The sequence below is a fragment of the Homo sapiens genome, chromosome 16, assembly GCF_000001405.40.
Source record: "Homo sapiens chromosome 16, GRCh38.p14 Primary Assembly".
In the NCBI taxonomy this organism is placed as follows: domain Eukaryota; kingdom Metazoa; phylum Chordata; class Mammalia; order Primates; family Hominidae; genus Homo; species Homo sapiens.
The window spans coordinates 70,280,841-70,301,387 of record NC_000016.10 but is presented as its reverse complement, the minus strand read 5'-3'; the positions used below and the strand labels follow the sequence as shown (position 1 = coordinate 70,301,387).

General features: G+C 48.2%; 2 protein-coding genes across 10 annotated transcripts in view, besides 4 other annotated features; one reads left to right on the top strand and one right to left on the bottom strand.

Annotated features, from left to right (window-relative positions):
* The window catches only part of DDX19B (DEAD-box helicase 19B), a 45,539-nt gene extending 33,918 nt beyond the window's left edge, over positions 1 to 11,621 (bottom strand). For 3 of the 8 annotated variants that reach the window (NM_001014451.3, NM_001014449.3, NM_001257175.2), the window contains exon 1: positions 2,034 to 2,335. In NM_001014451.3, the coding sequence (NP_001014451.1) occupies positions 2,034 to 2,090 (57 nt within the window). In that variant the 5' untranslated portion in view covers positions 2,091 to 2,335. Of the gene's footprint in view, positions 1 to 2,033; positions 2,336 to 6,321; positions 6,612 to 11,379 lie in introns of those variants that run through there. The other 5 variants (NM_001363938.1, NM_001257172.2, NM_001257174.2 and 2 more) reach the window with 4 other exon arrangements.
* Positions 2,088 to 2,382: an enhancer, noted in NCBI's record as "tiled region #7868; HepG2 Activating DNase unmatched - State 1:Tss, and K562 Activating non-DNase unmatched - State 1:Tss". NCBI's record gives its function as "activates a minimal TATA promoter and a strong SV40 promoter by Sharpr-MPRA in HepG2 and K562 cells {active_cell/tissue: HepG2 | K562}" and the evidence as "EXISTENCE:reporter gene assay evidence [ECO:0000049][PMID:27701403]".
* Positions 2,127 to 2,356: an enhancer, noted in NCBI's record as "active region_11052". NCBI's record gives its function as "activates an Ori minimal core promoter by ATAC-STARR-seq in GM12878 lymphoblastoid cells {active_cell/tissue: GM12878}" and the evidence as "EXISTENCE:reporter gene assay evidence [ECO:0000049][PMID:35858748]".
* Positions 11,882 to 20,547, top strand: part of AARS1 (alanyl-tRNA synthetase 1) — a 37,209-nt gene continuing 28,543 nt past the window's right edge. For both annotated transcript variants that reach the window (NM_001605.3, XM_047433666.1), the window contains exons 1-2: positions 11,882 to 11,967; positions 18,604 to 18,768. In NM_001605.3, the coding sequence (NP_001596.2) occupies positions 18,625 to 18,768 (144 nt within the window). In that variant the 5' untranslated portion in view covers positions 11,882 to 11,967; positions 18,604 to 18,624. The remainder of the gene's footprint in view (positions 11,968 to 18,603; positions 18,769 to 20,547) is intronic.
* Positions 12,537 to 12,666: a silencer, noted in NCBI's record as "silent region_7671". NCBI's record gives its function as "represses an Ori minimal core promoter by ATAC-STARR-seq in GM12878 lymphoblastoid cells {active_cell/tissue: GM12878}" and the evidence as "EXISTENCE:reporter gene assay evidence [ECO:0000049][PMID:35858748]".
* Positions 17,269 to 17,467: a silencer, noted in NCBI's record as "fragment chr16:70317824-70318022 (GRCh37/hg19 assembly coordinates)". NCBI's record gives its function as "represses an EF-1alpha promoter that drives an FKBP-Casp9 reporter gene in an ReSE screen in K562 erythroleukemia cells {active_cell/tissue: K562}" and the evidence as "EXISTENCE:reporter gene assay evidence [ECO:0000049][PMID:32094911]".

The window sequence follows — 20,547 nt, the reverse complement described above, 5'->3', positions numbered from 1 at the left end:
AAATCTAGAAGGCAATGGAACAATACATTTAAAATTTGGCAGGAAAATAATTTTCAACCTACAATTCTATACCCAGCCAAACTATTATCCAAATTACAGGGCAAAGTTAGATTTTTTAAGACATGGAATATTCTTAAAGTAATTTACTTCCCGTACACCTCCAGAAAGCTGACAGATGGCTGCACTAAAATAAGGAATAAATCAAGAAAGATGGAAAAGTAGGGGTACAGAAAGGAAGGGATCCAAGAGATCCAAAAGACAAGAGAAAGGAGGAAGGAATCTGCAGAATGAGGCTGAAGGGAAATTTGCCCTGTTCCCTCTATTCCCCAATATGAACTGTGCTCTAAAGACAGGAGTAACTAGTCCAATTTGAAGCAGACTTAAAGGCCTAGGAGAAATGGAATTGATAGAATACTTGATGAGTCTAAGCATCCTGAGATAAACTTAGACAACTGGAAGACAGTTTGGGGTTGAATTGATAATTAAGAAAAAAAAATGAAGCATAAACATAAGGCAATTAAGAATTCCAAGTAAAATAAATTTTATAGAAAAGTAAAGGGCCAGGCAAAGTGGCTCAGGCCTATAATCCCAACACTTTGGGAGGCCGAGGTGGGAGGATGGCTTGAGCCCAGCAGGTCAAGACCAACCTGGGTAATATAGTGAGACCTCGTCTTCACAAAAAATTAAAAAGTTAGCTGCATATGTTGGCACATGCTTGTAGTCCCGGTTACTCAGGAAGCTGAGGTGGGAGGATCACTTGAGCCTGGGAAGGGGAGGTTGTAGTTGGCAAGAGATGGTGTCAATGCACTCCAGCCTGGGTGACAGGGCAAGACCCTCTCTCAAAAAATATATGTAAAGAAAGAAAGAAACAGAAAAAAGAGGCTGGATGCAGTGGCTCACACCTGTAATCCCAGCACTTTGGGAGGCTGAGGCAGGTGGATCACTTGCACGCTGGAGTTCGAGACCAGCCTGGGCAACATGGCAAGTCCCCATCTCTACAAAAAAAATACAAAAAGTAGTTGGGCATAGTGGCACATGACTACAGTCCCAGTTACTCAGGAGGCTGAGGTGGGAGGATGGCTTGAGCCTGGGAGGCAGAGACTGCAGTGAGCCAAGATCACTCCACTGCACCCTAGCCTGGGCAACAGAGTGTGACCCTGTCTCCAAAAAAAAAAAAGGAGTTGCCTCTGGGGAGGAAAAAAATTGGCGGGAACCGTTGTTTTTAAAATAACTTCACTCTTTAAACAATGTGTATATACAACTTATTTTTTATGAGCTATAAAAAATAAAAGACAAGGTTCTTATTCTTGAGGAAGTCATAGCAATAAGTACTAACAGAAGTAGGTTCAAAGCCTACTAGGATTTAAAGTGTTTCGGTGGGAGAAATTAATTCTACGCAGTAGTGTTTAACACATCTCTTGCTTACCATGTGTCAGGTCCAGAAAAAAAGAACAAAGTGAAGCCGATGAGGAAAGGATTTGCTGACTGCCACACCTACTGGGTCCATCATTTATCACTGAGGAAGCACACAAATATGAGCAAAGACATGGTCCCTGAGCCAAAGAAGCTCTGAATGTAGAGGTGGAGAATGACACCTAAAATAACTATTACAAACCGGGGCGGCCAGGAACAATGGCTCAGCCTGTAATCCTGGTGCTTTGAAAGGCCGAGGCAGGAAGATAGCTTGAGACCAGGAGTTCCAGACTAGCCTGGGCAACCTAGCAAGACCATGTCTCTATTTCAATTAAAAACAAACAAAACACAATCTAGGGTGATGGGTGCAATCTATGATTCTTCCTGGTTCCAGGAAGACAGACAGGCAGCTGAGCGCTTTACCGATAGGAGCACTCACCTGCGCTTACGTAACGCGGAGGCGGCTGCGTAAACAAAGCCAGCTCAGGGTCCAGGCTCCATCCCTATCCTCCCCGCCACCCCATCCAGCCTCTAATCAACCTGGGAAACATTCTTTCCCAGGGACCAAGTCTCCGACCAGAACTAGTCCCCTGACCCTTTTAGGGCTGAAGCCAACTCACCGACTCAGCCGCAGCTTCCTGCTCGTCCACCGCCAGGGCCCATGAGTCAGTGGCCATGGTCCCAGGCGCGGGTGGGACGCTCGTGCTGGTGGATTCGAGGGATGGCACGAGGGATCGTGGGCTCCGGGGGTTCGCGGCAGGCTCTGCTCCAGCCCCACTACAAGGCTGCAGACCGGAAGCGGCGCGCCACAGTGACGTCGGAGGCCACTCCTGTTTGGCCACCCTTTGCCCACTTGAGGCTGTCGATTCTGTTGCCCTCAGACCCGTACCCCTCAACCCCGGGCAGAGCAAGCTTTCCTATCAAGCTGAGGTAGTTATCTTAAAATGCCTAAGCTCTGGTTAACTTGGATCTCCAACCAAAGAACAAAATCAGATTCCCGCCCAACACAGTGGCAGAGTAGGCACTAATACAGATTGAACAGATTGAATATATCAAAACAGAAAACCATTACCAATAGTCACCAAAATGCAAAACAAGCACAGAGCTGTTTCCCTTTTCAGATTGGTAATTTAAAATGTCCAGATGTTGGCAATCAGCCCTGACAACCCATTTGGTTAAAAGTCCACTTGACCACTATGCAATCTTGTTAGGCATGTAACAAAACTGCACCTGCACTCATAAATTTGTACCCCAAGAGGAGGAATTGCAGCTCTCCTATGTAAGCGTTGTAGAATCAGGAGAATGTTAAAAAGGAAGAAAACAGACGGTGCGGTGGCTCATGCATGTAATCCCAGCACTTCTGGAGGCCGAGGCGGAAGGATCACTTGAGCCCAGGAGGTCTAGGCTGCAGTGAGCCATGACAGGGCCACTGCACTCCAGCCTGGGTGACAGAGCAAAACTCTGTCTAGGAAAAAAATAAATAAAATTAAAATAGTAAAATAATTAAATAGAGCTAGGTGTGGTGGCTCATGCCTGTAATCTCAGCACTTGGGTTTTTGTTTGTTTTTTGAGATTGAGTCTGGCTCTGTCGCCCAGGCTGGAGTGCAGTGGCACGATTTCGGCTCACTGCAACCTCCACCTCCTGGGTTCAAGAAATTCTCTTGCCTCAGCCTCCCAAGTAGCTGGGATTACAAGCATGCGCCACCATGCCCAGCTAGTTTTTCTATTTTTAATAGAGATGGTGTTTCACCATGTTGGCCAGGATGGTCTCAATCTCCTGACCTCGTGATCCGCCTGCCTTGGCCTCCCAAAGTGCTGGGATTACAGGCGTGAGCCACTGCACCCGGCCTTTTGTTTTTTTAAGATAGAGACAGATCTTGCTGTGTTGTCCTGGCTGGTCTCAAACTCCTGAGCTCAAGTGATCCTCCCACCTCCACCTCCCAAAGTGCCAGGATTGGCCAGGCACAGTAGCTCACATGTGTAATCCTAGCATTTTGGGAGGTGGAGGTGGGAGGATCGCTTGAATCCAGGAGTTTGAAAACAACAACATAGCGAGGCCTTATCCTTACACAAGAAAAATTTAAAAATTAGCCAGGTGTCGTCGCACATGCCTGCAGTTCCAGCTACTTGGGAGGCTGAGGTGGGAGGATCACTTGAGCCCAGGAGGTTGAGGCTGCAGTTAGCAGTGTTTGTGTCACTGCACTCTAGTCTGCGCAACAGAGTAAGACTCTGCCTCATAAACAAATAAATAAATAGGAAGAAATATCTTGGGCTTTTAGTAGTTGTAAAATAAGGATTAAATGAAAGAACTGCTTTCTCCTAACTAGAATCAAAGAAGCTTCTCTTCCCTTGTTACTTCCCTAGAAAGAAACTAGGCATTTTCCTACAATCTGAAAAAAATGAATCCCAACCTCTTTCATTTTGCCAATATTATACAACAATAAGTTAATTTCAAGCCATGAGGCCGGGCACAATGGCTCACACCTGTAATCCCAGCACTTTGGGAGGCCAAGGTGGGTGGATCACCTGAGGTCAGGATATCAAGACCAGCTTGGCCAACATGGTGAAACCCTATCTCTACTAAAAATACAAAAATTAGCCAAGCATGGTGGTGCACACCTGTAATCCCAGCTACTTGTAAGCCTGAGGCAGGAGAATCACTAGAACCCGGAAGGCAAAGGTTGCAGTGAGCCGAGATCATGCCATCACACTGCAGCCTGGGCGACGAGTGAAACTCTGTCTCAAAAAAAATAAATAAATAGACTGGGCACGGTGGCTTGCACCTGTAATCCCAGCACTTTGGGAGGCCAAAGCAGGTGGATCACGAGGTCAGGAGATTGAGACCATCCTGACCAACATGGTGAAACCCTGTCTCTACTAAAAATACAAAAATTAGCTGGGTGTGGTGGCATGCACCTGTAGTCCCAGCTACTTGGGAGGCTGAGGCAGGAGAATCGCTTGAACCCGGGAGGTGGAGGTTGCAGTGAGCCAAGATCATGCCACTGCACTCCAGCCTGGACGACAGAGCAAGACTCTGTCTCAAATAAATACATAAATAAAAACAAACAAACAAAAATCAAGCCATGGTGGGTTCTCTGTGGAATTTTACCAGTACTGTAAGAGTAAAAACGTTTTGAGAAAGGGTAAAGCAGTTCCAGAGAACATTCTACTTGCTATGATTATTTTTTCCTGCACTCTCACAGGGTTAACTGGAGAAGACGTTTTTGTTTTTTGTTTTTGACCTTACACATGAGGATGTGCTAAAAAGAAAAAGGCAAACACCACCTTGGTAGCCATGACCTACATCTCATCAATTCAGAAGCAACCCTGGGGATATTTTCCCAGATAAATTATATTGTTTCACAGGGCTAGAGGTTAATGAAATTTGCAAAACATTTTAATGAGGTTAAAAATTACATCGCCCAAGTTGCAGGACCGTATATAGTAGGTTCACTTGTACAAAACAAACAGGAACCCCCACCCCAAAAGCCCCCAAGCTCCCATATATGCTTTTATACACTATGGAAAATGCCTAAGAAGACCGGAGCAGTGGCCTGTGTCTGCAGTCCCAGCTACTCCTGAAGCTGAGGTTGGAGGATCGCCTGAGCTCAGAAGTTCGAAGCCAGCCTGGACAACATAGTGAAACCATCGCCTCTTAAAAAAAAAAAAAATGTGGCCAGGTGCGGTGGCTCACGCCTGTAATCCCAGCAGTTTGGGAGGCCAAGGTGGTGGATCACGAGGTCAGGAGTTCAAGATCAGCCTGGTCAAGATGGTGAAACTCTGTCTCTACTAAAAATACAAAAATCAGCTGAGCATGGTGGTGGGTGCCTGTAATCCCAGCTACTTGGGAGGCTGAGGCAGAGAATTGCTTGAACCCAGGAGGCAGAGGTTGCAGTGAGCTGAGATCATGCCACTGCACTCCAGCCTGGGCAACAGAGCGAGCCTCTGTCTCAAAAAAAAAAAAAAAAATGCTTAAGATACACACAAAACTGATAACCATGGCTGCCCCTGGTGAGGGCCTCTAGAAGGGTGGGGGTGGATTGAGTATGCTTTATCCTCTGAAATTATTTTCCATATGCATGGTTTTTTTTAAATTAGAGACAGGGTCTTGCTATGTTGCCCAGGCTGGAGTGCAGTGGCTATTCACAGGCACCATTACAGCACATACTATATCCTTGAACTCCTGAGTTCAAGAGGTTCACCTGCCTCTGCTTCCCAAGTAGCTGGGACTACAGGTGTGTGCAGCTGTGCTTGGCTCCATGTTTCCCTTTTAAAAATGTATTTCAGACAAACAAGAAAGGGTATAACAAATACTTAGATTCCCACCTCAAAACTTAATAAATAAAATTACTAAGGTCCAATTGATAATCTCCGTATACTCATCCCAGGAAGACAGCAGCTATGCCAAATTTGGTGTTTATCCTTCCCGTACACGATTTTAGCATGTGTTTTTTCTTCTACTAAATAAATATGCAAGCCTGGGCAACATAGGGAGACCCCGTCTCTACCAAAAAAAAAAAAAAATTTTTTTTAAGTAGCTGGGCGTGGTGGCGTGAGCCTGTAGTCCCAGCTACTCCTGAGGCTGAGGTGGGAGGATCACTTGATCCCAGGAGTTCAAGGCTGCAGTGAGTCGTGATCATGCCACTGCACTCCAGCCTGTCTCAAAACAAAACAAAAAACAAAAAAACTTAAAAATAGCATCGGGGTTTCAGACTCTCCTAAGTTCACCCCCAATACACCTGCGCTTTGTGAGACTCCGGCTAAGAAGGAACCTGGTTTCCAAAGCGGGCGTGGAAAGAAGAGTGTTCGGGGAATAAGAGCATCTGGATTGGAATTCAGCCTCCTGCATTTATTCCCACGTGAGCCTAGCCAGTCTCAGTTTCCCCTGAAATCACAGGAAGTACCCACCTCACAGATGGCGGATTCTAGATCACAAGGCTAAGACCTTGGGCCGAAGCCTCGAGAAATATTGTTATTCCTCTACCCAGGAGTAGGGGCGAGGAAGGCACCTAAACGTGGGAGGAAAGGGTCTGGCTTCTACCCTCGCAGATACTCACGTCGCCCACAGGCAGGGTGATGGGAAACCGCCGCAGGGCGCGATCTTGGACGCGCCCGGCAGCCCCAGCCATCGCGGCTGAGCATGGCAGTTACACTCCAACAACCGCTGCTCTTGGCACTGGCCAAGCCGGAGCCTCATTGGCTGAGGCCTGGAAATCCTGTCAGCCAATCAGCTGAGGGGACGGTACAGCGCTCGGGCACGCGCCCCAGGAACTCTGGGGGCCAAAGACAAGCGCAAGCCTCCCGCAGAGGGCTTTGTTTCCTGCTAAATGTCTGGCTTCCTGGTGAGACTGGGAACTCCATGAGGGCAGGGCAAGATCTTTAATCTTGATCCTCAGTGACTAACACATAGTGGTCACTCATTTGGTGAATCATGAGCCATTAGCATCTCCCCCCGTGGGTCAAACTTTTTAAAAATTTTGCATCTGAACAAATAGGTGCAGACGCACATCCTCTAATCTAGACCCTTGGTATTCCAAGTATAATCTCTCAGCAGCATAGATATCGCCTGAAGCCTGTTAAAAATGCAGGCTCTCGGCCGGGCACGGTGGCTCACGCCTGTAATCCCAGCACTTTGGGAGGCCGAGGCGGGTGGATCACGAGGTCAGGAGATCGAGGCCATTCTGGCTAACACTGTGAAACCCCGTCTCTACTAAAAATACAAAAAATTAGCTGGGCGTGGTAGCGGGCGCCTGTAGTCCCAGCTACTCGCAAGGCTGAGGCAGGAGAATGGCGTGAACCCGGGAGGCGGAGCTTGCAGTGTGCAGAGATCGCGCCACTGCACTCCAGCCTGGGCGACAGAGTGAGACTCCGTCTCAAAAAAAAAAAAAAAAAAAAAAAAAAATTCAGGCTCTCAGGCCCTACCCCAGACCTATTCAATTTAGCAATATTTTAAGATCCTAGGTGATTCCTTTAGCGTTTTATGGTCTGAAAAGTACATTAGACAAAAAAATTATAATATGCTCAATTGAAATATTCCTTTAGAGGTTCTTAAAAATTCAGCCTTGGCCGGGCGCGGTGGCTCACGCCTGTAATCCCAGCACTTTGGGAGGCCGAGGCGGGTGGATCATGAGGTCAGGAGATCGAGACCATCCTGGCTAACAAGGTGAAACCCCGTCTCTACTAAAAATACAAAAAATTAGCCGGGCACGGTGGCGGGCGCCTGTAGTCCCAGCTACTCGGGAGGCTGAGGCAGGAGAATGGCGTGAACCCAGGAAGCGGAGCTTGCAGTGAGCCGAGATTGCGCCACTGCAGTCCGCAGTCCGGCCTGGGCGACAGAGCGAGACTCCGTCTCAAAAAAAAAAAAAAAAAAAAAAAAATTCAGCCATCCCCATTTGACTTAGTACCAAATAAGCCAGCATTGTAAACCCATTTTATAGATGCTAAAAGTAGCTAAGATGCCATGGGAGAGTTAAGAGTCTAGCGCTACATCCTTCCAAAGCTATGTTAGTTTTTTTTTTTTTCCACTTGTTTCCATTTCTTTCTTTTTTTTTTCAATTGAGACACTGTCTCATTCTGCCACCCAGGCTGGAGTGCAGTGGCACGATCATGGCTTACTGCATCCTTTACTTCCCTGTCTCAAGCTATCCTCCCACCTCAGCCTCCTGAATAGCTGGGACTACAGATGCATGCCACCATGCCCAGCTAATTTTTGTATTTTTTTGTAGAGGTTGAGTTTTGTCATGTTGCTCAGGCTAGTCTCAAACTCCTGGGCTCAAGCCATCCACCCACCTCAGAATCCCAAAGTATGGTGATTAAAGGTATACGCCATCACGCCGGCCTGTTTCTGTTTGTTGTTTTTATTATTTTTTAAATTTAATTTAATTTAATTTTTTTGAGACAGAGTTTCCCTCTTGTCTCCCAGGCTGGAGTGCAGTGGCACAATCTTGAGTCACTGCAGCCTCTGCCTCAGCCTTCTGAGTAGCTGGGATTACAGGTGGCCGCCACCACACCCAGATAATTTTAGTATTTTTAGTAGAGATGGGGTTTCACCAGGTTGACCAGGCTGATTTTGAACTCCCAACCTCAGGTGATCTGCCCGCCTCGGCCTCCCAAAGTGTTGGGATTACAGGCATGAGCCACTGTGCCTGGCCTGTTGTTTCACTCTGCGGCCCAGGCTGGAGGGTAGTGGGGCAATCACAGCTGTTGTACTATTTCAGTTCTTTGGTTATCTTTCTCATGCCCCAAGATGGAGTTCAACAAATGTTCTACTGGAGAGCAAGCCATGTGCATATCGCTCACTCCCACCTACAGGCCTATTTGCTTAGCCTAGAGTAAATCAAGAACTTGCCAGTAGTTTCCTAAAATACATAATTTGCACATTGCATTAAGATAGCATTCTTTCTAGCATGTAGTTGACATCTACAAGAGAAAAATATCACAGAAAAATATCATTAGATAATTATATTAGAATGAGACTTTTGGGCCTCAATTACAATTTCTTTCTTTTTTTTGTTTTAAGAGACAAGGGGGCCGGACGCGATGGCTCACGCCTGAAATCCCAACACTTTGGGAGGCCAAGGCAGGCGAATCACCTGAGGTCGGGAGTTCAAGACCAGCCTGGCCAACATGGCGAAACCCTCATCTCTACTAGAAATAGAAGAAAAAAAAATAACTGGGCGTGGTGGTGGCGCCTGTAATCTCAGCTACTCGGGAGGCTGAGCCAGGAGGCAGATGTTGACATGAGCCGAGATCATGCCATTGCACTCCAGCCTGGGCAACAAGAGTGAAACTCTGCCTCAAAAAAAGGAAAAAAAAAGAGAGAGAGACAAGGGTCTTGCTTTGTTGCCCAGGCTGGAGTGCAGTCGCGAGATCTCAGCTCACTGAAGCCTTCAGCTTCTGGGCTCCAAGTGATTCTCCTTCCTCAGCCTCTTGAGCAGCTGGGACTACAGGCGAATGCCACCACGCCTAGCTAATTAAAAAGAATTTTTTTTTTTTAACAGAGTCTCACTATGTTGCCTAGGCTGGTTTCAAACACTTGGGCTCCATTGATCCTCCTGCCTTGGCCTCCCAAAGTGTTGGGATTACAGGTGTGAGTCTCTGTGCTGGCCTACAATCTCTCTTAATGGGTGAATAAAAAATTCTTATTTATTTATTTATTTATTTTGAGACAAAGTCTCGCTCTGCGGCCCAGGCTGGAGTGCAGTGGCCTGATCTCGGCTCACTGCTAGCTCCGCCTCCCGGGTTCACGCCATTCTCCTGCCTCAGCCTCCAGAGTAGCTGGGACTACAGGCGCCCGCCACCACGCCCGGCTACTTTTTTTGTATTTTTTAGTAGAGACGGGGTTTCGTCGTGTTAGCCAGGATGGTCTCAATCTCCTGACCTCATGATCTGCCTGCCTAGGCCTCCCAAAAGTGCTGGGATTACAGGCATGAGTCACCACGCTAGGCCAAAAAATTATTTTAATCTGTTTATAATTATTTTATTAATGAAGGTACTATCCTAGTAACAACTCTGGCAGCAGAACTAAATTATTGAGATTACAACCTGTATTATTTTATTCTGAAAGTACAATTCATACATACCTTTTGGCTTTCTATTTTAAGTGTGGTGGCTTAGAAGTCTGACTCATTTCCCAGATTGTTTAAGCTAAATATATGTTATTTAGGGCACTGTGGATCAGAATAAACACTTGTGTCTCCTGGTTTTGCCCTCAGCTGTGTTACTTAACCTCTCTCTCTGCCTTATTTTACTCTGTTAAAAGCAGATAGTAGTAGTAACTCATGATAAGGTTGTGAGGATTAAAAGCTTAGATTGGTGCCTGCTGTATACTAAGTGCTCAATAAATGGTAGGTTTGATGATTACTATTTGTGAGCAGCTATGAAGTGGGAAAGTAAATCAAATGATTTATGTTTTTACTGGCTTTTGGGCTTGACCTTCTTTTTGTGTAGGATGCTCTTTTTGCATAAAAAGTAGTATTTTTCTGTATTGTCTGTAACTTGAGTTATGACCAGCAGCACAATTTATTACCCGTGTATTTGGATATATCAGATGATGGAGGTAATAGTGCAGTGGTTAAGAGCATGGGCTTTGGAGTTAAATAGACACAGGTTTGGATCCTGTCTCCACAACTTACTATTGGGTGTGAACTTGTGCAAGGTAATTTCCTCATTTGTAAAAAGGGGACTCCAGCTGACCTCATACACAGTTTAAAAATCAAATGAAATAAGCATGTGAAATGTTTGATGCAATGCCTCACGTATAAATACATACATATTTTTCAGACAGGGCCTCGCTCTGTCGCCCAAGGAATGCAGTGTCACGATCAGGGCTCACTGCAGCCTCAACTTCCTAGGCTCAAGTGATCCTCCCACTTCAACCTCCCAAGTAGCTGGGACTACAAGCATGCGCCACTATGCCTGGCTAATTTTTATTTTTTATTTTTTTTTTTGAGACGGAGTCTTGCTCCGTAGCCAGGCTGGAGTGCAGTGGCGCCATCTCGGCTCACCGCAACTTCCGCCTCCCGAGGTCAAGGGATTCCCTTGCCTCAGCCTCCCGAGTGGCTGGGACTACAGATGCGCGCCCGGCTAATTTTGTGTTTTTAGTAGAGACGGGGTTTCACCATGTTGGCCAGGATGCTCTCGGTCTCCTGACCTCGTCATCCGTTGGCCTCAGCCTCCCAAAGTGCTAGGATTACAGGTGTGGGCCACCGCGCCCGGCCTTTTAAAAAATTTTTCGTAGAGACAGGGTCTAGTTATGTTGACCAGGCTGGTCTCCAACTCCTGGGTTCAGGTGATCTTCCCACCTTGGCCTCCCAAAGTGTTGCAATTATAGGCGTGAGCCACCGCACCTGGCATGTATATATGTATATGTATATATATATATTCACCCTCCTCCCCCAGGCCTATAAATATTAACTTTTTTTTTTCCAAAGGCAAATCGAGGACCAGATGCTGATCCAATCGTACCTGAACTACTGATGTTATTTCTTCCACACCAAATTCAAGGTCTCCCCCGGACAAGTGTAACCATGGGCACAATGTCAGACTCTTTGAGGGCTGTGTATCACTCAGCAACTAAAATAAACAACTATAGCAAGATATGTAACCTCTACCAAACACGTTACCGTCTCCCCTTTTTAACTATGTCAATTGTGGTGTTAGGACTTTGCCTATGGAAACCAAAATGTCGACCTCCGGGAGCCGGGGGCGGGGGGGGGCGGGGGGGGCGGGGGGGGGTCTAACTCGATCATGTGACGCACCCCATCCCACCTTTTCTCGCAGTTGCATCAGCCAAGTTAGAGCCGCCTTCCCAGGAATCCACTAATGAACGGATTCGTCCTCAGTTTGACTGGCATGTTGGTTGACCAATAATATCTCATGAGGTAAGGCGCGGCGGGGCACTTTCCGTCGGCGCGCTCTGATTGGACGGAGCGTGGCGGGTTGTGGTAGGTCGTGGTCTGAGGCCGGTACAGCTGCGCGTCTGCGGGAATAGGTGCAGCGGGCCCTTGGCGGGGGACTCTGAGGGAGGAGCTGGGGACGGCGACCCTAGGAGAGGTAGGCCGCCCTCGGAGAGCTCTGCGGTGCTAGGAGAGCGGCTGGGCCCGCAGACTGGGGGGAAAGCTCCGCAGCCGCAGTGGGCCCCAGGATCAGGCCCCGCGTGGCCTGGAGAAGCCCAGTCTGGGCTGGAGCGGGAGCTGGACAGTGTGGCCTTGCGTTCGCCCCCGGGAGCGCTGCGAGTGTCGCGGCCTCGGGTGGATTTGCTGAGCACCAATACCTCACGGTTGCCAACCTGGGGTTTTAGCTCCCTTGGTTTTAATCCCCTAGGGGCGGGTGGGGGCACGGGAGGAAGGATGGGCCAGCTGGGTGCAATCCTGCTGTAAGCCAGCCATTCCTTGATTTCTTAAAATTAACTAAACAGCTGATGCCGGTCCAGGCGCACCGAGACCGTCATCTTAAGCTGTTCTGTAAAACAGTTTGTATTTCTCGGTGTGCTTTGAAGCATGTGAGTTAATTCCGAACTTGGTGTTAAAGGATTAGTATACCTGATCACGAAATACGTATTTAGCAGCCACTGTACTAGATGCTGAGGATGTGCTGTAATAGCCCAGGGCCAGGCGCGGAGGCTCACGCCTGTAATCCCAGCGCTTTGGGAGGTCGAGGCGGGCGGATCACCTGAGGTCAGGGGTTCGAGACTAGCCTGGCCAACATGGTGAAACCCCGTCTTTACTAAAAATACAAAAATTAGCCGAGCGTGGCGGCGCGCGCCTGTACTCTCAGCCACTCCGGAGGCTGAGGCATGAGAATCGCTTGAACCCGGCAGGCGGAGGTTGCAGTGAGCTGAGATCACACCATTGCACTCCAGCCTGGGTGACAGAGGGAGACTCCGTTTCAAAAAAAAAAAAAAAAAAAGAGCCCAGAACAGTCGTTGCTGCTGGGATGGAACTGACAGCCTGATGGGGGAGGCGCACATTAAACAATCCATGAAGCGCGTATGGAAATTATGAAGGGAAACACTTGAGGCTGTGAGACAGTAAAAGAGGGGGAGCCTTATCAAGAAGGGGAAGGCGGCCGGGCGCGGTGGCTCACGCCTGTAATCCCAGCACTTGGGGAGGCCGAGGTGGGCAGATCACGAGGTCAGGAGATTGAGACCATCCTGGCTAACACGGTGAAACCCCATCTCTACCAAATATACAAAAATAGCCGGGCGTGGTGACTGGCGCCCGTAGTCCCAGTAGTCCCAGCTACTCGGGAGGCTGAGGCAGGAGAATGGCGTGAACCCGGGAGGCGGAGCTTGCAGTGAGCTGAGATCGCGCCACTGCACTCCAGCCTGCGCAACAGAGCGAGACTCCGTCTCAAAAAAAAAAAAAAAAAAAAAAGAAGAAGGGGAAGGCTGTCTTAAATAAGTGTCTTGGCCGGGCGCGGTAGCTCACCCCTGTAATCCCAGCACTTTGGGAGGCCGAGGCGGGCAGATCGCCTGAGGTCAGGAGGTCGAGACCAGCCTGACCAACATGGAGAAACCCCGTCTCTACTAAAAATACAAAATTAGCTAGGTGTGGTGGCACATGCCTGTATTCCCAGCTACTCAGGAGGCTGAGGCAGGAGAATCGCTTGAAGCCGGGAGGTGGAGATTGCGGTGAGCCGAGGTTGCGCACCATTGCACTCCAGCCTGGGCTACAAGAGCGAAACACCGTCTCAAAAAAAAGAAAAAGTGTCTTTACGTTTGTTGTTGTTTGAGTCAGGGTCTCACCCTGTTACCTAGGCTGGAATGTTTTGGTGTGACCATAGCTCACTGCAGCCTCAAACTTATGTGCTCAAGCGACCCTTTGGACTCAGCCTCCCGAGTAGCTGGGTCTGCAGGTGCACACCACCACACCTGGCCAATTAAAAAAAAAATTGACCTCCCAGGCTCAGGTGTTCCCATGTTGCCCAGGCTGGTCTTGAATTCCTGGCCTCAAGCAATCCTCCTGTTTCAGCCTCCCAAAGTGACAGAGCGAGACCTGTGTGTAAAGCCTGGGTGACAGAGCGAGACCTGCCTCAAAAAAAAAGTTGAAACAGGTCTCGCTTTGTCACCCAGGCTGGAGTGCAATGGCATGATCTCGGCTCGCTGCAGCCACCGCCTCCCAGGTTCAAGCAATTCTCCTGACTCAGCCTCCCAAGTAGCTGGGATTACAGGCGCCCGCTACCATGCCCAGCTAATTTTTTTTTTTTTTTTTTTTTTTTGAGACGGAGTCTCGCTCTGTCGCCCAGGCTGGAGTGCAGTGGCGCGATCTCGGCTCACTGCAAGCTCCGCCTCCCGGGTTCACGCCATTCTCCTGCCTCAGCCTCCCGAGTAGCTAGCTGGGACTACAGGCGCCCGCTACCACGCCCGGCTAATTTTTTGTATTTTTAGTAGAGACGGGGTTTCACCGTGTTAGCCAGGATGGTCTCGATCTCCTGACCTCGTGATCCGCCCGCCTCGGCCTCCCAAAGTGCTGGGATTACAGGCGTGAGCCACCGCGCCCGGCCTAATTTTTGTATTTTTAGTAGAGATGGGGTTTCACCATGTTGGCCAGGCTGTTCTCGAACTCCTGACCTCAGGTGATCCACCCGCCTCGGCCCCCCAAAGTGCTGGGATTACAGGCGTGAGCCACTGTACCCGGCTGAAAATTTTCTGTTGCCCAGGCTGGAGTGCAGTTGATCTTGGCTCATTGCAACCTCTGCCTCCCAGGTTCAAGCGATTCTCCTGCCTCAGCCTCCCAAGTAGCTGGGATTATAGGTGCGTGCCACCACACCCCGCTAATTTTTTGTTGTGTTGTATTTTTAGTAGAGACAGGGTTTCACCGTGTTAGCCAGGATGGTCTTGATCTCCTGACCTTGTGATCCACCCGCCTCGACCTCCCAAAGTACTGGGATTATAGGCGTGAGCCACCCTACCCGGCCTCAAAAATTTTTTTTAAATACAAAAAAATTAGTCGGGTTTGGTGGCACATGCCTGTAGTCCTAGCTACTCCGGAGGCTGAGGTGGGAGGAACACCTGAGCCTGGAAGGCCAAGTGATTGCACCATTGCCTGCGCTCCAGCCTGGGTGACAGAGAGGGAGACCCTGTCTCAAAAAAAAAAAAAAAAAAAAAAAATTCCTGTGGAGTGGCTGGAGCCACAGCGTGATTTAAGGCACCCAAGACCTTTACAGCTCCTGTTAGTAAGTGAAACCTGAGGTTCTGCCTTTGTGCTACCTCTGTATCCCATATAGCCCTCCAGTGAATAAATCAATGAGTTTATGTTGAATAAATATATTGAATTTATATCGAATAAATATAAATTTAGATTGAATAAATAAATGGGGGTAAACAAATGAATGTGGGGATACAGCTTTTAATAGTTTCAGCCTTCATAGACTCATAGTTAATATATTCAGTCCTTTTACACAATACTGCAGTTAATTCTGCATATGATAGTCTCCTCAGGAAGGACATAGGCTGTCATTCATTTTGATTCTTGGCACATAGTATGCATTCATTATGGTGAATTAGTAAGCAAAAATGGGAAATTCATGTGTCTTTTGGAAAGTAGCTGGAGTCAGGATCTCCTGTTCACTTTGTACATCTCTATTGTATTTTCCTCATAAGGAGAAAACTTTGGCTGGGCATGGTGGCTCATGCCATCCCAACACCTTGGGAGATTGAGGCCAGGAGTTCGAGACCAGCGTGGGCAGCATGGCAATACTCCATTTATAACAAAAACAGAAATTAGCTGGGCGCGGTGGCTCATGCCTGTAATCCTAGCACTTTGGGAGGCTGAGGCTGGCAGATCACCTGAGGTCAGGAGTTCGAGACCAGGCTGAGGAACATGGTGAAACCCTGTCTCTATTAAAAATACAAACATTAGCTGGGTGTGGTGGCACTTACCTGTAATCCAGGTTACCCAGGAGGCTGAGGCAGGAGAATTGCAGGAACTTGGGAGGTGGAAGCTGCAGTGAGCTGAGATTGCGCCACAGCGCTCCAGCCTGGGCGACAGAGTGAGACTCTGTCTCAAAAAAGAAAAAAAAAGAAATTAACTGGGCATGCTGGTGTGCAACTGTAGTCCCAGTTACTTGGGAGGCTGAGGCAGGAGGATTACTTGAGCCTCGGAGTTTAAGGCTGCTTAAGTGATTGTCCCACTGCACTCCAGTCTGGACAGAACCAGAAAAAAAGAAGAAAACTTTCAGCTAAACAACTTAAAAGTAATATTATCCATTCTGTTCCTTCAAGGTTTTCCTTTTTTTTTTTTTTTAGACGGAGTCTCCCTCAGCCACCCAGGCTGGAGTGCAGTGGCGCAATTTCGGCTTACTGCAACCACTATTTCCCAGGTTCAAGCGATTCTCCCATCTCAGCCTTCTGAGTAGCTGGGATTACAGGCACTCGCCATCATTCCCGGCTAATTTTTGTATTTTAGTAGAGATGGGGTTTCACCATATTGGCCAGGCTGGTCTTCAACTCCTGACCTCAGGTGATCCACCCACCTTGGCCTCCCAAAGTGCTGGGATTACAGGTGTGAGCCACCGCACGTGGCGTAACGTTTTCCATTTTATAGATTGCTTCCAAATACAGTATAGCTTTTGATCCTCACAACACCTCAGTTGAGTAGGCAGGGTAGATACTGCTTTTTTACAGAAAAGGAACTGAACTCAGGCAAAAGTGAATTAAGGTTACGGTTGGGTCTGGAATTCCAGAGACTTTTTGATAATAATGATAATATTGTGAATAAGATGGTTCTCATTTTTCTAGACACAGCAGTTTGTGGCACTACAGCACCATGCCAGTGATCAGCACTCTCACCAAAGCCTGTCACTTCTCCCCAGCCTACCTCTCAGGGAAATCGTAATATCTGTGAAAGAGCTGTTTTTGTTTTTGTTTGTTTGTTGACACAAGGTCTCTGTCGCCCAGGCTGGAGTGCAGTGGCATGATCTTGGCTCACTGCAAGCTCCGCCTCCTGGGTTCACGCCATTCTCCTGCCTCAGCTTTCCGAGTAACTGGGACTACAGGCGCCTGCCACCATGCCCGGATTATTTTTTGTATTTTTAGTAGAGACGGGGTTTCACCATGTTAGCCAAGATAGTCTTGATCTCCTGACCTCGTGATCCGCCTGCCTCGGCCTCTCAAAGTGCTGGGATTACAGGCGTGAGCCACCGCGCCCGGCCATTTTTGTTTTTTTTGAGACGGAGTCTTGCTCTGTCACCCAGGCTGGAGTGCAGTGGCGCGATCTCGGCTGACTGCAACCTCCACCTCCTGGGTTCGTGCCATTCTCCTGCCTCAGCCTTGTGAGTAGCTGGGACTACAGGCGCCTGCCACCACGCCCGGCTAATTTTTTGTATTTTTTTTCTAGTAGAGACAGAGTTTCACCATGTTAGCCAGGATGTTCTGGATCTCCTGACCTCGTGATCCACCCACCTGGCTAATTTTTTTACTATTTGTACTGACAAGATCTTGCTATGTTGCCCAGGGTGGTCTCAAACTCCAGGGCTCAAGCAATTCTGCCACCTCGGTCTCCCAAAGTGCTGGGATTACAGGCGTGAGCCACCGCGCCCAACTTGTGAAAGAGCTTTGAAGTCATAAAGTTTTTTCTCTCTCCACCAGTTCCCTTGTACTTTCACTTTCAGTAAGCTGTGCCTCCAAAGTGGGGCTACAGCATCCCCACTCCCTGGTAATCTAATGGCTGGAAGGCAGCCGTTTGCTGTTAGGGTTCTTGGGGGATGTAGGCTACATAGAGGTAGGTACATTCCTGCTACATACAGGTGGTCCCTTGTACAGATAGGCCCATCCCCAGGACTATTGCTGCTGACAGCCGCCTCACCATGACATCAGGCCAAACCTAGAGACCCTGACTTTGGGGCTAGTGGAACTTTGCAGTTCTAGGCGTGTACATTAACACAGAGCTGAAGGGATCTTTAGAGATAATCTCATATGGACCCCTCCTTTTTTTGGTGAAGTGACTCCCTCAGGACTTGAAGCTAGAACTCAAACCCCGGTCTCCTGAGCCTCTCTCCCTCTTCCCCAGTTGGACTAAACTGAGGGTTTTTCTCCCCCTTTTTTTCTTTTTTTTTTTCCTTCTTTTTTTGTTTTTTTGAGACGGAGTCTCTCTCTGTCGCCAGGCTGGAGTGCAGTGGTGTGGTCTTGGCTCACTGCAACCTCCACCTCCTGGGTTCAAGCGATTCTCCTGCCTCAGTCTCGCAAGTAGCTGGGATTACAGGCACGCACCACCATGCCCAGTTACTTTTTGTATTTTTAGTAGAGATGGGATTTCACCATGTTGGCCAGGCTGGTCTTGAACTCCTGACCTTGTGATCTGCCCACCTTGCCCTCCCAAAGTGTTGGGATTACAGGCGTGAGCCATCGTGCCTGGCTGTCCCTCTTTTTTTCTAATTCCTAGTCTCGGGCCTGACACAGAGCAGATGCTCGATACATATTTGTTTAATGAACAAACATCCAGCAGCAGTGTGCTTGGTGTGCTGGGGTGTTGAACCTCTTGAGGTTGGCATGGGAAGGAAGAACAGATGGGGCTGCTGTCTGCTGGTGATGATGATTTTAGCCTTGGACATTACAACATAGAGGTTTTAGGATCAAACAGCTCACCTGAGTCGTGCTTTGACTTGGCTTGAGAAGCCAGAAGTCTTGTGTAATGTGTACTTTGACTTTCAATTCCCTTAATTTTCCTTCATTTTTTTTTCTTTGATTAGTTCTTTGGGGTGACTTTCAAGATGGACTCTACTCTAACAGCAAGTGAAATCCGGCAGCGATTTATAGATTTCTTCAAGAGGAACGAGCATACGTATGTTCACTCGTCTGCCACCATCCCATTGGATGACCCCACTTTGCTCTTTGCCAATGCAGGCATGAACCAGGTAAGGGTTTTTCCTTTTTTCTTGGCTTTTGGTTCACATAAGAGGCAGCAGAGCCCAGATAAAAGCACAGCCCTGGGGTCAGACCGATTCTGGTTCTGTCACTCCCTGTGTGATCTTGTGAAACTTTATGTGATGGGCCTCAGTTTCTTTGCAAAATGAGGAATAATATTGCGGGCCTGTAGGTATTAGTGAGAAGCGAATAAGATAACACATACAAAATGTTTAGCACGGTATTTCGCACATAGTACGTAGGTACTCAAACATTAGCTTTTTTTTTTTTTTTTTTTTCCTGAGACGGAGTCTCGCTCTGTCATCCAGGCTGGAGTGCAGTGGTGCAATCTCGGCTCACTGCAAGTTCTGCCTTCTGGATTCACGCCATTCTCCTGCCCCAGCCTCCCGAGTAGCTGGGACTACAGGTGCCCGCCACCATGCCTGGCAAATTTTTTTGTATTATCATTATTTTTTTTTGAGACGGAGTCTTGCTCTGTCGCCCAGGCTGGAGTGCAGTGGCGTGATCTGTGCTCACTGCAAGCTCCGCCCCCCAGGTTCATGCCATTCTCCTGCCTCAGCCTCCCAAGTAGCTGGGACTACAGGTGCCCACCACCAAGTACAGCTAATTTTTTTGTATTTTTAGTAGAGATGGGGTTTCACCGTGTTAGCCAGGATGGTCTCAATCTCCTGACCTTGTGATCCATCCGCCTCGGCCTCTCAAAGCGCTGGGATTACAGGCATGAGCCACCACGCCCGGCCAGCTATTATTATTTTTTAGAGAGAGGGTCTCACTCTGTCACCCTTGCTGGAGTGCAGTGGCATGATCCTAGCATGCTGTAGCCTCAGACTCCTGGGCTTAAGTGATCCTCTTATGTCAGCCTTCCAAGTAGCTAGGACTACAGGCATGCTCTACCATGTCAGCTTTTAAAATTATTTTATTTATTTTTTAATTTATTTATTGTTTTGAGACAGAGTCTCGCTGTCGTCCAGACTGGAGTGCAGTGGCACGATCTTGGCTCACTGCAATCTCTGCCTCCCGAGTTCAAGCGATTCTCCTGCCTTGGCCTCCGAAGTAGCTGGAACTACAAGCGTGCGCCACCACACCTGGCTAATTGTTGTATTTTTAGTAGAGACGGGGTTTCACCATGTTGGCCAGGTTGTTCTCGAACTCCTGACCTCAGGTGATCCACCCACCTCAGCCTCCCAAAGTGCTGGGATTATAGACGTGAGCCACCTTGCCTGGCCTAAATTTATTTATTTATATGCAGAGATGGGGGTCTCACCAAGTTGTTCAGGCTGGTCTCGAGCTCATGGCCTCAAGTAATCCTCCTGCCTTAGCTGCCCAAAGTGGTGTGATTACAGGTGTGAGCTACCACGCCCAGCCCACCTAATGCCTTTCTTGAAATTATTGCCACCAGTGCCATTTTGGATCCATTGCTGAAGAAAATTTATTAGTTAGTACGGTTTATTTGGGGAAGTTGAATTAAAAATATATTTGAGGCTGGGCGCAGTGGCTCACACTTGTAATCCCAACACTCTGGGAGGCCGAGGCAGATAGGTCACTTGAATCCAGAAGTTCGAGACCAGCCTAGGCAACATGGTGAAACCCTGTCTCTTATTAAAAATACAAAAAATTAGCCAGGTGTGGTGGTGCATGCCTGTAGTCCCAGCTTCTGGGGAGGCTGAGGCGGGACGATTGCTTGAGCCTGGGAGGTCAAGGCTATGGTGATCCCTGATCATACCACTGCACTTCAGCCTGCACAACAGAGTGAGACCCTGTCTCAAAAA